General features: G+C 36.9%; 1 protein-coding gene across 19 annotated transcripts in view; it reads right to left on the reverse strand.

Moving 5' to 3' along the window:
- The window catches only part of HFM1 (helicase for meiosis 1), a 147,242-nt gene that overhangs the window by 39,602 nt on the left and 91,443 nt on the right, over window positions 1-16,197 (reverse strand). For 14 of the 19 annotated variants that reach the window (XM_011540852.3, XM_011540857.2, XM_017000490.2 and 11 more), the window contains 5 exons: window positions 16,024-16,109; window positions 15,734-15,817; window positions 15,448-15,605; window positions 13,590-13,693; window positions 12,982-13,128 (listed from right to left, as the gene is read on the reverse strand). In XM_011540852.3, the coding sequence (XP_011539154.1) occupies window positions 12,982-13,128; window positions 13,590-13,693; window positions 15,448-15,605; window positions 15,734-15,817; window positions 16,024-16,109 (579 nt within the window). Of the gene's footprint in view, window positions 1-12,981; window positions 13,129-13,589; window positions 13,694-15,447; window positions 15,606-15,733; window positions 15,818-16,023; window positions 16,110-16,197 lie in introns of those variants that run through there. The other 5 variants (XM_047447956.1, XM_047447955.1, NR_165455.1 and 2 more) reach the window with 4 other exon arrangements.

Raw genomic sequence — 16,197 nt, forward strand, 5'->3', positions numbered from 1 at the left:
GGTACCATTCCTTCTGAAACTATTCCAATCAATAGAAAAAGAGGGAATCCTCCCTAACTCATTTTATGAGGCCAGCATCATCCTGATACCAAAGCCTGGCAGAGACACAACAAAAAAAGAGAATTTTAGACCAATATCCCTGATGAACACCAATGCAAAAATCCTCAATAAAATATTGGCAAACTAAATCTAGCAGCACATCAAAAAGCTTATCCACCATGATCAAGTGGGCTTCATCCCTGGGATGCAAGGCTAGTTCAACATATGCAAATCAATAAACTTAATCCAGCATATAAACAGAATCAACAACAAAAACCACACGATTATCTCAATAGATGCAGAAAAGGCCTTTGACAAAATTCAACAACCCTTCATGCTAAAAACTCTCAATAAATTAGTTATTGATGGGACGTATCTCAAAGTAATAAGAGCTATCTATGACAAACCCACAGCCAATATCATACTGAATGGACAAAAACTGGAAGCATTCCCTTTGAAAACTGGCACAAGACAAGGATGCCCTCTCTCACCACTCCTATTCAACACAGTGTTGGAAGTTCTGGCCAGGGCAATCAGGCAGGAGAAGGAAATAAAGAGTATTCGATTAGGAAAAGAGGAAGTCAAATTGTCCCTGTTTGCAGATGACATGATTGTATATCTAGAAAACCCCATCATCTCAGCCCAAAATCTCTTTAAGCTGATAGGCAACCTCAGCAAAGTCTCAGGATACAAAATCAATGTGCAAAAATCACAAGCATTCTTATACACCAATAACAGACAAACAGAGCCAAATCATGAGTGAACTCCCATTCACAATTGCTTCAAAGAGAATAAAATACCTAGGAATCCAACTTACAAGGGATGTGAAGGACCTCTTCAAGGAGAACTACAAACCACTGCTCAATGAAATAAAAGAAGATACAAACAAATGGAAGAACATTCCATGCTCATGGGTAGGAAGAATCAATATCATGAAAATGGCCATACTGCCCAAGGTAATTTATAGATACAATGCCATCCCCATCAAGCTACAAATGACTTTCTTCACAGAATTGGAAAAAACTACTTTAAAGTTCACATGGAACCGAAAAAGAGCCCGCATTGCCAAGTCAATTCTATGCCAAAAGAACAAAGCTGGAGGCATCACACTACCTGACTTCAAACTATACTACAAGGCTACAGTAACCAAAACAGCATGATACTGGTACCAAAACAGAGATATAGACCAATGGAACAGAACAGAGCCCTCAGAAATAATGCCACATATCTACAACCATCTGATCTTTGACAAACCTGAGAAAAACAAGAAATGGGGAAAGGATTCCCTATTTAATAAATGGTGCTGGGAAAACTGGCTAGCCATATATAGAAAGCTGAAACTGGATCCCTTCCTTACACCTTATACAAAAATTAATTCAAGATGCATTAAAGACTTAAATGTTAGACCTAAAACCATAAAAACCCTAGAAGAAAACCTAGGCAATACCATTCAGGACATAGGCATGGGCAAGGACTTCATGTCTAAAACATTAAAAGCAATGGCAACAAAAGCCAAACTTGACAAATGGGATCTAATTAAAGAGCTTCTGTACAGCAAAAGAAACTACCATCAGAGTGAATAGGCAGCCTACAGAATGGGAGAAAATTTTTGCAATCTACTCATCTGACAAAGGGCTAATATCCAGAATCTACAATGAACTCAAACAAATTTACAAGAAAATATCAAACAACCCCATCAAAAAGTGGTTCGTGAAGGATATGAACAGACACTTCTCAAAAGAAGACATTTATGCAGCCAAAAGACACATGAGAAAATGCTCATCATGATTGGCCATCAGAGAAATGCAAATCAAAACCACAATGAGATACCATCTCACACCAGTTAGAATGGTGATCATTAAAAAGTCAGGAAACAACAGGTGCTGGAGAGGATGTGGAGAAATAGGAACACTTTTACGCTGTTGGTGGGACTGTAAACTAGTTCAACCATTGTGGAAGTCAGTGTGGCGATTCCTCAGGGATCTAGAACTAGAAATACCATTTGACCCAACAATCCCATTATTGGGTATATATCCAAAGGATTATAAAACATGCTGCTATAAAGACACATGCACACGTATGTTTATTGTGGCCCTATTCACAATAGCAAAGACTTGGAACCAACCCAAATGTCCAACAATGATAGACTGGATTAAGACAATGTGGCACATATACACCAGGGAATACTATGCAGCTATAAAAAATGATGAGTTCATGTCCTTTGTAGGGACATGGATGACGCTGGAAACCATCATTCTCAGCAAACTATCGCAAGGACAAAAAACCAAACACTGCATGTTCTTACTCATAGGTGGAATTGAACAATGAGAACACATAGACACAGGAAGTGGAACATCACACTCTGGGGCCTGTTGTGGGGTGGGGGGGAGGGGGAAGGGATAGCATTAGGAGATATACCTAATGTTAAATGATGAGTTAATGGGTGCAGCACACCAACATGGCACATGTATACATATGTAACAAACCCGCACGTTGTGCACATGTACCCTAAAAGTATAATTTAAAATTAAAATAAAATAAAATAAAATTATAATTTATCCTTTTTGCTGGTATACAGGAATACAATGGACTTTTAAATTTCTTAATTAAATTATAATTCATACCATACCATTCACATTTTTAAACTGTACAATTCAGTGGGTTTTTAGTATATTCCCAAGGTTGTGCAACAGTCATCATATAATTCCAGAACACTGTCATCACCATACATACAAAAAACCCACCATATAACTATTATTAGTCATTCCTCATTTATTCCTGCCCTCAACCCCTGACAACCACTAATCTACTTTATGTCTCTATAGATTTACCTGTTCTAGACACTTCATATAAATTGAACCATACAATATCTGGTCTTCTGTGACTAGCTTCTATCTAGCATGTTTTCAAGGCTCATCCGTGCTGTAGCATGCATCAGTAGTTTTTCTTTTTGGCTGAATAATATTCCATTGTATGGATATACCACATTTTGCTTATCTATTCATCAGTTGATAGATATTTGGGTTGTTTCCAGTTTGGGCTATTATAAATAATGCAGCTATATACATTCATGTCTAAGTTTTTGTATGAATATGTTTTCAATTCTTTTGGATATACACCTAGGAGTACAATTGCTGTATCATATGTTAATTCTATGTTAAATTTCTTGAGGAAATACCAACTGTTTTTCAAAGCAGTGCACAATTTTACATTCCCACTAGCAGTGTATGAGGGTTCCAGTTTCTCCATATCCTTATCAACACATGTTATTGTCCATCATTTTGACTAAAGCCACCCTACTGAGTGGGAAGTGGTATCTTACTGTGGTTTTGGTTTGCATTTCTGCATTGACTAACAATGTAGAGCATCTTTTCATATGTGTGTTGACCATTTGTATCACTTCTTTGGAAAATGTCTATGCAGATCCCTTGACTAGTTTTATTTTTATTTTATTTTTGAGACAAAGTCTCACTCTGTCACCCAGGTTGGAGTGCAGTGGCATGATCTTGGCTCACTGCAACCTCTACCTCCTGAGTTCAAGCAATTCTTCCACCTCACCTTCCACTCAATCCTGAGTAGGTGGGATTACAGGCGTGCACCAACACGCCTGGCTAATTTTTGTATTTTTAGTAGAGATGGGGTTTCACCATATTGGCCAGGGTGGTCTTGAACTCCTGACCTCAAGTGATCTACCCGCCTCGGCCTCCCAAAGTGTTGGGATTACAGATGTGAGCCACTGTGCCCGGCCCCTTGACTAGTTTTAATTGGGCTATTTGTCTTTTTACTGTTGAAGTGTAAGATTTCTTTATATATACTCAATACAAGTTAGTTATCAGATATATATGATTTGCAAGTATTTTCTCCCATTCCGTGGGTTGTCTTTTCACTTTCTGAATAGTGTCCTCTGAAGCACAAAAGTTTTCATCTTAAGTCCAATTCATCTATTTTTTCTTTGGTTACTTGAGCTTTATATGTCATACCTAAGAAACTGTTGCCTTGTACAAGGTAATGAATGAAGATATACACCTATGTTTTCTTTTAAGAGTTTTATAGGTTTTTGTTTGTTTGTTTGTTTTTGAGACAGAGTTTCGCTCTTGTTGCCCAGGCTGGAGTGCAATGGAGCGATCTTGGCTCACTGCAACCTCCGCCTCCTGGGTTCAAGCGATTCTCTTGCCTCACCCTCCTGAGTAGCTGGGATTACAGGGGCCCATCACCACAGCCGGCTAATTTTTTTTTTTTTTTTTGTATTTTTAGTAGAGACAGAGTTTCACTATGTTGGCCAAGCTGGTCTTGAACTCTTGACCTCAGGTGATCCACCCACCTCAGCCTCCCAAAGTGCTGGGATTACTGGTGTTAGCCACTGCACCTGGCGAGTTTTATAGTTTTAAGTTTTACCTTTAGGTCTTTGATTCATTTTGAGTTAATTTTTGTATATGGTATGAGGTAGGAGTCCAAATTCATCCTTTTGCATGTGTCTATGCAGTTGCCCAGCCCTATTACTTGAAAAATTATTTTCAAATTCTTTTACCATCAAATTGTTTTGGCATCCTTGTCAAAAATAAACTGGCAGAGAGGTAAAGGTTTATTTCTACACTCTCAGTTGTATTCCATTGATCTTTATGTCTATTATTATGACAGCACCACCTTGTCTTAATCACTGCAGCTTTGTAACAAGTTTTGAAACCAAGAATTGTGAGTCCTCTACCTTCCTTCTTTTTCTTTTCAAGGTTGGCTTAGCTATTCTGGGTCCCTTGTATTTCCACGTGAATTTTAGGATCAGCCTGTGAATTTCTGCAAAAACTACAGCTAGGATTTTGATACAGACTTTGTTGAATTTATGAATTAATATGAGAAGTGCTGCCATCTTAACAATATTGACTTTCAATCCACGAACATAAAATATTTTTCAATTTATTTAGAACTTCTTTAATTTATTTCAATGGTGTTTTGTAGTTTTCAGTGTTCACTTCTTACACTTTTTTGTTCAATTTATTCCTAAGTATTTTATTCTTTTTGATGCTATTGTACAATTGTTTTTTATATTGACTGCATTCAGTGATATTTCTAAACATATTAATTCCAACAGCATGTCTATAGAGTCTTTTGGATTTTCTCTATAAATAATCATGTTGCTTAGAAATAATGACAATTTATTTATTTCTTTTTTTTTCTTTTTTTTGAGACAAGGTCTCACTCTGTTGCCCAGGCTGGAGTGGAGTGGTGTAATCATAGCTCACTGTAACTTCGAACACCTGGACTCAAGTGATCTTCCCATTTCAGCCTCCAGAGGAGCTGGGTCTACAGGCAAGCACCACCACACCTGGCTACTTTTTTCTATTTTTGTAAAGATGGAGTTTCACACTGTTGCCCAGGCTTGTCTTGAACTCCTGGACTCAAGTGATCCTCCTACCTCGGCCTCCCAAAGTTCTGGGATTATAGGTATGAGCCACTGCACCCAGCCCCCTTTTTGCTTTTTTAAAGTATTATTATATTACTAAGACTTCCAGCACAATGTCGAATAGAAATAATAACACAGAGCATTCTTGTAACATTCTCCAACTCAATAGGAAAGTGTTTAATATTTTACTATCGAGTATGACATTTGCTATAGTTTTTGTAGATATTCTTTATATTTAAGAAGTTCCAGGCCAGGCGTGGTGGCTCACCCTGTAATCCCAGCACTTTGGGAGGCCAAGGCAGGCAGATTACCTGAGGTTGGGAGTTCAAGACCAGCCTGACCAACACGGAGAAATCCCATCTCTACTAAAAATACAAAATTAGCTGGGCGTGGTGGTGCATGCCTGTAATCCCAGCACTCGGGAGGCTGAGACAGGAGAATAGCTTGAACCTGGGAGGTGGAGATTATGGTGAGCCGAGATTGCACCATTGCACTCTAGCCTGGGCAACAAGGGTGAAACTCTGTCTCAAAAACAAAAACAAAACAAAACAAAAGAAGTTCCCTTCTATTTCTAGTTTGCTAAGAGTTTTTTTAAATCATAAATGAGTACTGAATTTTGTCAAACTTTTTTGACACCTATCAAGAGGATCAAATCATTTTCTCCTTTTTCTCTGTTAACATAGTGAATTATATTGATCTACTTTTGAATGGTAAGCCTCTCCTGCATACATGCAATAAACCATACTTAATTGTGCTTTTAAAAAATATGGCCAAATTCAGCTTGTGAATATTTCATTAAAGACTTTTGGATCTATGTTCATGAGATATGTTGCTAAATAATTTCCCTTTCTTTTTAATGTCCTTGTCAGGTTTTGACACACTGGCCTCATTAAAAAAACAAAACATTAGAAAATATTCTCTTTTTTTCTATTCTCTGGAAAAGTTTAGGTAAGTTTGATATTATTTCTTCTTAATTAAGAAAAATTAACAGTGAAGTCATCCATGCCTCAAGTTTTCTTTGTGGAAAAATTTTTACTAACAATTGCTTCAATTTCATTACTAGTATCAGACTACTCAGATTTTATTTTCTTCTGTCAGTTTTGGTAAGCTTTGCTTCTCAATAAATATTCTCATTTTAACCCAAACTATGTCAAATTTATCATTATAAAATTGTTAATGTCTTGTTTTTGTGCTTTTGAATATCTTCAGTAACTTTTTGATATACAATGTAATATCCTCTTCTTCATTCTTGATATTGTTACTTGTGTTTTCTTTCTTTCTCTTGATCAGTCTTCATTCATAGAGGGTTCTTAATTTTATTTATCTTTTCTAAGAACCAAATCTCAGCTTTGTTGATTTTTCTCTGTTGTATATTTACATCCTATGTATCGCTGATTTCTGTTTTTCTCTTGTTACATTATTATGTTTGATATGGTATACTCTTGAGATGCAAGCTTGTATTTTTTTGCTTTGCATTTTATTTCCACATATATTTTAAACTCTGTAAGTCATTTCAATTACTGTTTTACATAGTCTACTTATATTTAGTCATATAGTTATCCTTTCTACTCTTCTTCATTCCCCCCAGCATGTCCATGTTTTCATCTGTGATCATTTTCCTCTAAGGAAATCCCTTTAGTATTTATTTTATTTTATTTTTTATTTTGAGACAGGGTCTCGCTCTGTTACCCAGGCTGGAGTGCAGTAGTGTGATCTCAGCTCACTGCAGCCTCAACTTCCCAGGGTCAAATGATCCTCCCACCTCAGCCTCCCAAGTAGCTGGGACCACTGGTGCACATCACCACACTCACTAATTTTTTTTAACTTTTTGTAGAGACAGGGTTTCACCACATTGCCTAGGCTGGTCTTGAACTCCTGGGCTCAAGCGATCTGCCCATCTTGGCCTCCCAAAGTGCTGGGATTATAGGCATGAGCCACTAAGCCTGGCCTTAGTATTCATTTTAATTCAGGCTGATAAATATACTAGTAGTGATAAAGTCATTTAGTTATTTTCTTTCTCTTTCTTCCTCTTTCTTTCTCTTCTTTCTCTTCTTTCTTTTTTCACTTTCATCATGAAGGATATTTTCCACTGGGCAGAAACCTAGGTTGGTAGCATTTTGAATATGACATTCCATTGTCTTCTGTTTTCCATCATTATTGTTGAGAAGTTAGCTGTCAGTTTCACTGTTGTTATTTTGAAGGTAATGCATAAATGATGTGTCTAATTTTAACATTTTCAGCAGTTTTGCTACAATATGTCCAGGTGTGGTTTTCCCTGTATTTGCCTCTGTTTGGGGTTTACCAAAATTCTAAATCTGTTGGTTGGTGTCTTTTATTATTTTGAAATGGACTCTGCCATTGTCTCTTTGAATGTTAATTTTGTCCCATTCTCTCTCTACTCTGCTTCTGGGACTTTAATTATGCATATGTTAGACCTTTTTTTGAGTATTATATTCCTTTGTGTTCTTTCCATTCTCTTATCTCTGGGCTTCAATTTAGATATTTTCTACTGATATGTCTCAAAGCCCACAAATCCTATATTTGGTTATATTGAATCTAATGTTAAGCCTACCCAACTAGCTCTTCATTTCAGATATCGCATTTTTAATTCTAGAAAGTCCATTTAAATCTCTTTATAGATTTTAATTATCTGGTAAAACTTTCCATCTTTTCATGCATTTACCTATTTTTTCTATATTTTCTTTAAAATATTCATAATTATTTTATACTTTTTTTAAAGAGATGTGGTCTTGCTATGTGGTCCAGGCTGGAGTGCAGTGGTAAATTCACAGACATGATCATAGTGCACTACAGCCTCAAACTCCTGGGCTCAAGAAATCCTCCTGCCTTAGCCTCCTGAATATCTAGGACTACCAGTGTGTGTCACCATGTCTGGCTTGTTTCTTGACACAGTTGATTATCAGTCATATGGTCTTATCTCTTTGTGGGCCTCACAATTTTTTTATCATATGACAGACACTGTGTCTGTGGTTTCCAGATTACATTTCACCAGAAGAAGTTTCCCTTTCCCTCTGTCAGGCAAACATGGTGAGTGGCTGATCATGTAAACCCCTTTACAGGGCATGGTCTACCTAGCCTTTTTATTAAGAATTTAGTTCCTTTAGTCCTTAGTGCTTCCACAAATCTCTGATGCCCTAAAAATTATAATTTTATAAGGTATGAAGGTTTTCATAGTTGTAGCTGTGGAAGCACTGGCCTACCACAAAACTATATCCTACCCAGAAATGGAAGCTCTTTTGTGTTCTTCAAAAGGAAGAAGATGAAGGCTCATGAGCTCACAGAATAGTTCTAAATGCGTTCTTCCTGTCACTACTCACTGCAGTTACTATTTATCATAATTGCCAATACTATTCAGAGAGCATGTCTAATCATGCTGCTGCTCTCAAATTCCCCAGTGTCTGTTAACTGCTCCCCTTATGGGGTCAAAAGGGTGAAAACAGGACCAACTGAATAAGAAAGAGCTGTAAGGTAGACTGCCTATGCTGCAAGTGTTTATATATTTAGTGCTTGTTTTGTAGATTTAGTTACAGAGCCATGTAAATGTTTTACATTATTATAAAACAAAATTAATTTTTGAAAGCTAGTCCTAAAAATATAAAATAAAATGAAACAAATGAAAGTATATGTATCCAGAGTGGCATGGCCACATACAGAGGATCTATTCCAAGTGATTTTTAAACACATTAATTTTACTATTGAGATACAGTCTAAGATAGTAAGATACAGCCTAAGAACAAAAATATCTGCAAAATAATTCTCAAATTTTATGATCATATTAAGAGTGATAGTCTGATGCTGCTATTCTCAGACTGTTTATTGTGTGTGTAATGTATATAAAGGATAGAAAATTAGTGATACTCTATTATTTTTGAGCCATTGAGAACCAAGTTTCTCAGCATGATAGAAGGCATATATAGATAATTGAGTTTAAGGATAAATTCTGCATCTCTGAATTTGATAAGTATGAATTCATGATGTCTTTTAAGACAAAAAATAATCACATAATACTTACCTCCATGCATGAAAAAAATCTAAGAGACCATAATCACTCAATGGCAACGAGCTCCTCTAGGACACAGATTGTGATCTCTGAAAACTACTATCATTTAAAAAAAAAGGCTTCTTGGACAAAGGGTTTATTATGTTTGGGACTGAAGCTGGAGATATACGAGATAAGCCTAGAACAGCATATTACTCTGCATAGCAAAGAAGCTGTCAAATCTACTAGAAATACTCAAAAGGACTCAGGAGTTAATCTGGTATATCTAGATGGTATGAAGATGATAATACATCTACAATATTTATGAGACAATTTGAACCCTGACTTAATATTGGATAATATTAGTTTTTATGTGTAAAAGTAATGTAGTTTAAAAAAATCTTTACCATTTAGATAGAGATATATTGAAACATTTACAGAGGAAATAATACGATATCTAAAATTTTCTTCAAAATATGGATGGAAAAAAAAACTAGAGAGGTATAGATGAAACAGTAGCAGCCATGAATTGATCACTGTTTAAAGTGGATAATGAGTAAATGAAAATTCATCTTACACTTCTATCTACTTTTGTATATGTTTGAAAAATTCCCATAATAAAAAATAATAATTCATTTTCACTCTGATTTGCCTTAACAAATCTGTTGATTCTTGTACATCACTTGATCTCCCCTGACAATGGCTATAACAATGGCATAAGTATGGAAAAGGAAAAACGTATACTGACATGGTTTGGCTGTGTCCCCACCAAAATCTCAACTTGAATTGTATCTCCCAGAATTCCCACGTGTTGTGGAAGGGACTGAGGGGGAGGTAATTGAATCATGGAGGCTGGTCTTTCCCTTGCTATTCTCCTGATAGTGAATAAGTCTCAAGAGATCTGATGGGTTTATCAAGGGTTTCTGCTTTTGCTTCTTCCTCATTTTTCTCTTGCCGCCGCCATGTAAGAAGTGCCTTTTAACTCCCACCATGTGATTCTGAGGCCTCCCCAGCCATGTGAAACTGTTAAGTACAATTAAACCTCTTTTCCTTCCCAGTATCAGCTATGTCTTTATCAGCAGTGTGAAAACAGATTAATATAGTAAATTGGTACCAGTAGAGTGGGGACATTGCTGAAAAGATACCCAAATATGTGGAAGCGACTTTGAAACTGGGTAACAGGCAAAGGTTGGAACAGTTTGGAGAGCTCAGAGGAAGACAGGAAAATGTAGGAAAGTTTGGAACTTCCTAGAGAATTGTGGAATGGCTTTGCCCAAAATGCTGATAGCAATATGGACAATAAGGTCCAGGTTGAGGTGGTCTCAGATGAAGATGAGGAACTTGTTGGGAACTGGAGCAAAGGTGACTCTTGTTACGTTTTAGCAAAGAGACTGGTGGCATTTTGCCCCTGCCCAAGAGATTTGTGGAACTTTTAACTTGAGAGAGATGATTTAGGGCATCTGGTGGAAAAAATTTCTAAGCAGCAAAGCATTCAAGAGGTGATATGGTACTCTTAAAGGCATTCAGTTGTAAAAGGGGAACAGGGCATAAAAGTTCAGAAAATTTATCCCAGCACTTCGGGAGGCCGAGGCAGGTGGATCACCTGAGACCAGGAGTTTGAGACCAGCCTGACCAATATGGTGAAACCCTGTCTCTACTAAAAATACAAAAATTAGCCGGGCATGCTGGTGGGTGCCTGTAGTCCCAGCTACTCAGGAGGCAGAGACAGGAGAATTGCTTGAACCCAGGAGGCAGAGGTTGCAGCAAGCCGAGATCGTGCCACTGCACTCCAGCCTGGGTGACAGAGTGAGACTCCATCTCAAAAAAAAAAAAAAGTTCAGAAAATTTGCAGCCTGACTATGCAATAGAAAAGAAAAACCCATTTGCTGGGGAGAAATTCATGCTGGCTGCAGAAATTTGCATAAGTAGCAAGAAGCCTAATGTTAAACCTCAAGACCATGGGGAAAATGTCTCCAGGCCATGTCACAGATGTTTACGGCAGCCCCTTCTATCACAGGCCTGGAGGCCCAGGAGGAAAAAGTGCTTTCATGGGCTGGGCCCAGGTCCCTGTGCTGTGTGCAGCCTAGGGATTTGGTGTCCTATGTCCCAGCTGCTCCAGCCATGGCTGAAAGGGGTCAACATACAGCTCCAGCTGTGGCTTCAAGGCTTGTGGAAGCCCCAAGCCTTGGCAGCTTCCACATGGTATTGAGCCTGTGGGTACACAGAAGTCAAGAATCGAGGTTTGGGAACCTCCACCTGGATTTCAGAAGATGTATGGAAATGCCTGGATGCCCAGGCAAAAGTTTGCTGCAGGAGCAAAGCCCTCATGGAGAACCTCTGGTAAGGCAATGTAGAAGAGAAATGTGGGGTCAGAGCCCCCACACAGAGTCTCTAGTGGGGTGCTGCCTAGTGGAGCTGTGAGAAGAGGGCCACCATCCTCCAGACCCCCGAATGGTAGATCCACCGACAGCTTGAACTGTGCACTTGGAAAAGCTGCAGACACTCAACACCAACCCATGAAAGCAGCCAGTAGGGAGGCTGTGCCCTGCAAAGCCACAGGGGTGGATCTTCCCAAGACCATGGGAACTCACCTCTTGCATCCATGTGACCTAGATGTGAGACCTGGAGTCAAAGGAGATCATTTTGGAGCTTTAAAGTTTGACTGCTCCACTGGATTTCAGACATGCATGGGGCCTGTAAGCCCTTTGTTTTGGCCAATTTCTCCCATTTGGAATGACTGTATTTACCCAATATCTGTACCCCCATTATATCTAGGAAGTAACTAGCTTGCTTTTGATTTTACAGGCTCATAGGCAGAAGGGACTTGCCTTGTCTCAGATGAGACTTTGAACTGTGGACTTTTGGGTTAATGCTGAAATGAGTTAAGGCTTTGGGGGACTGTTGGGAAGGTGTGATTGGTTTTGAAATGTGAGGACATGAGATTTGGAGGGGCTAGGGGTGGAATGATATGGTTTGGCTGTGTCCCCACCAAAATCCCAACTTGAATTGTATCTCCCAGAATTCCCATGTGTTGTGGGAGGGACCCAGGGGGAGGTAACCAAATCATGGGGGCTGGTCTTTTTTGCGCTGTTCTTGTGATAGTGAGTAAGTCTCATGAGATCTGATGGGCTTATCGGGGTTTCTGCTTTTGCTTCTTCCTCATTTTTCTCTCGCCACCACCATGCAAGATGTGCCCTTCACCTCCTGCCATGATTCTGAGGCCTCCCCAGCCATGTGCAACTGTAAGTCCAATTAAACCTCTTTTTCTTCCCAGTCTCAGGTATGTCTTTATCAGCAGCATGAAAATGGACTAATACATATACCAAAAGATGAATAAAAAAATTTGTCCCCCAACCATTACCCCAATTTGACAAATACTAACTTGAAGAATCTCTACTATATACTATTAATGAAATTACTATGAAGCTTAAATATCTTATTCCAGAGTATCCTCAATCTGAGTGTTGCAGTACTATAACACTGATACTCCTTCCTAGCCATATCTTTGCTTTAATATAAAATAGGAATTAATACAGCTATTTACCTTTATTAGGTCCTGCTATTGTAGATATGTCTGAATGTTTAGAATGGGAAATCTGTGTTTCAGATTTTCTTTGCATAGTGATTTGATTTCCAAACCTCTTGGGTTCTAAGTAAAAGACTGTAAGTTTCTGCTGAATATCAAGCCCAACTGGAAAATGAAAAAAAAGTACACAAATGTTTATTTGTCATATAAATCCACATATGAGAACACTTATTTCTTTTTATCTCTCTTACATTTTTATAACTTCTAGAGCTAAGAAGTCCAGAAAGTTAAAATATGTTGAAAGGTTAAAAAATATGACAACTAAAAAATTATATATTTATCATTATAAAAATAAAAATCTTCCAACAATAACTGCAACTTAACTATCTAGGAAAATAAAATATCTATAAATGAAAAGATAAACTTTTAATTATGTCATCTGGTCCATGTTATGTTTTACATATCTAAATACATGAAACTTCCTTTGAAGTTTATTCATATTATCTAAATATATTATTTTTGCATAATACCATTTATACTGTTTTTCTGTACCAGCATAAAGGATGTAATTTTTAAATGCAATTATATTATTTATATTCATGTCTTCATTACTTCAATTAACTTACCAAATTCAGAACTTATTAGATTTATGCTAAGATCTTCAGATTTAAGAGCTCTTTTCACAGCAATCTTTTTAGCCCAACTTCCAGCTTTTAGCAAAACAGAATCCCTGAAAAATAGTATAGTTTAAATAGTGATCCAAACACTGAATGAAATACATATTAATCTTGAAGGGCTGATTGTTCTTAAGAAAGATACTCTCTAGTAGTAAACTGAAATCAATTACTGAAAACTGCTTTCCCCAACTTTTAAGGAGGGAGAATAAAGTATCAATGGAACTCTCTTGACCATGATTTTTAAAAAATTAATTAATTTTCTTTGAGACAGAATCTTACTCTGTTGCCTGGGCTGGAGTGCAGTGGTACAATCATACCTCACTGCAGCCACAAACTCCTAGGCTCAGGCAGTCTTCCTGCCTCGGTCTCCCGAGTAGCTGGGACCACAGGCACATTGGCACTATGCTCAGATTATTTATTTATTTATTTTTGTAGAAATAGGGTCTCACTTTGTTGCCCAGGCTGGTCTGAAACTCTGGGCTTTAAGTGATCCTCCTGCCTCAGCCTCTCAAAGTGCTGAGATTACAGGTGTGAGCCACTCCATCCAATCCCTAATTTTTTTAATTACAGCTGTTTCCAAGTTGCATTTACCATTTTAGTCCCAATAAGAATATATACTTTGTATCAATAACACATGAGCTTGCCCCTAAATCACTACCATTTTAAACTGGCTATACGTTATGAGAACAACTTCAATAGTATTTTTAAATTTATATAAAATGGTTTGTATCTAATAACATCACAAGCCAGCAACCATTTTTATGACTAAACTTATTTTAGTCTCATGTAGTCATAGACTTATTAGTCACAGAGAACAAAGATTTGTACAACAGCATATTCTCTATAAGTGGGTCATGGTTAGCTGCAGGAGAGCAGTTACCAGTGAAAGGGATATCCTGGTCACTGCAGTCCCTTCAGAAACCTTGCATGCGACTTTTTGGGAAGGTATCTTCCAGTATACTGGCACAATTAGGAGATTCCCATTTCAGAATCACTGCCATTCCTGAACTTACAAGTACAGTAATATGGTTGGGAGTCTAGGCTCTGGATTGGGTTCAAATCTAGACTTTGCTATTAACTAGCTATATGACCATGATTAAGGTTTGGTTAATCATAAATCAAACTCATTAAACTCTTTTTGTCTCAATTTCCTCCTCTACAGAATACGGACAGCACCTGTCTCATACAAATATTAAATAATTCAATATTTGGAACCTACTAAGTGCTAAATAATATTAGTTATAGCTGCAACTGATATCCTTAGAGATTGCTTATGACATCCTGGGAGAAAATAATAGTACCTGGAAAAATGCTGAAGTAAAAATTATAGAATGGCATGCTACAGAACTAGATATAAGGGAGGGTACCTCCTCTATACATTTGCTTTGTTTGCTTGGATCCTACAATGGAGCTATAGTAATTTGTTAGATTTTAATTTGGAAGTAGAAGGTATATTTTGAGGTCAGTAGGAGAAAGACTGCATCCAAACAGTAGTAGGGTCATGGATGACTGGAGAAAAGCAGTGAAATAAGAAAGACCTCCTAGAGGTAATCTACTCACTTGTTTCAGATCATGGTGATAGATTTTATACTTTGTTCATCTGAGTACTAAATATAACAATTTAAAACAACAGACCCAATGTTAATATCTTCTTTAATAGAAAAATAGAGAAACCATCCCATTATTGTGTCAGGAAAATGTAATTTAGTTGATCCCACAATGATCTTGTTATTTTTTTTTCAGTAGAATTTTTCTTTTACAGTATATGCTTAGAAATAAGATCAAACATCAGAAATTTCACACTTACGTAATCTTGTGCAGATAAACTACTTGATTATCTGCGTCACCTATGATTAAGGTAACATAGTGAGAATCCGATGCTGTTCTTTTAGTTTGTAGCTGTTCAAAATTTCTTAATATAACAGTCACTAATATTTCTGCCGTCGTATCACTATATCTTGTAATCTTTAAAAAAGGACAAGTATAAAAAGTGTTAAAAATAACCTTACTTCTCATACTCAGCTGAAGCCTATTTATAGGTAGCTTTATTTCTGAAAAGACAATAAAATATCTAAGAAACAGAAAATATTTACCTGTTCCACTTTAAGTTCATATTTTGGTAGATACATCACAGTTTCTTTTATCTGGGTTCCAAAGGGGGGATGTCTGTTTAAAATCTAAAAATATTTACATCATTATATTCTTACCACAACACTTGAAATTCTTTTAGTAAAATATTTTTTAGAATAAATAGCTTTAATAATGCTTATCACCCAAAAGTAAGTTGAAATACTTATAACTATGAGAAGGAAAATAACTTTTAATAGAAATAAAGGTAGGCCTCAGAATTTAGATGGAATTAGGAATAAGTGAATATAACTACCAATTCAAGTTCCCTTGCATCTGTCTCTTCTATTTTTTTAAAGGAAGTCAAACCAGCATTTACGATTGCATTTGACAATGTTATACCTGTGGAAAATTAATCAAACAACAACTTAAAAATAATGCACTTTAAATAAAACATATATTTAAATATTTAACAACTAAATTAGTAAAA

This window comes from Homo sapiens, chromosome 1 (genome assembly GCF_000001405.40).
Source record: "Homo sapiens chromosome 1, GRCh38.p14 Primary Assembly".
NCBI classification, from domain to species: domain Eukaryota; kingdom Metazoa; phylum Chordata; class Mammalia; order Primates; family Hominidae; genus Homo; species Homo sapiens.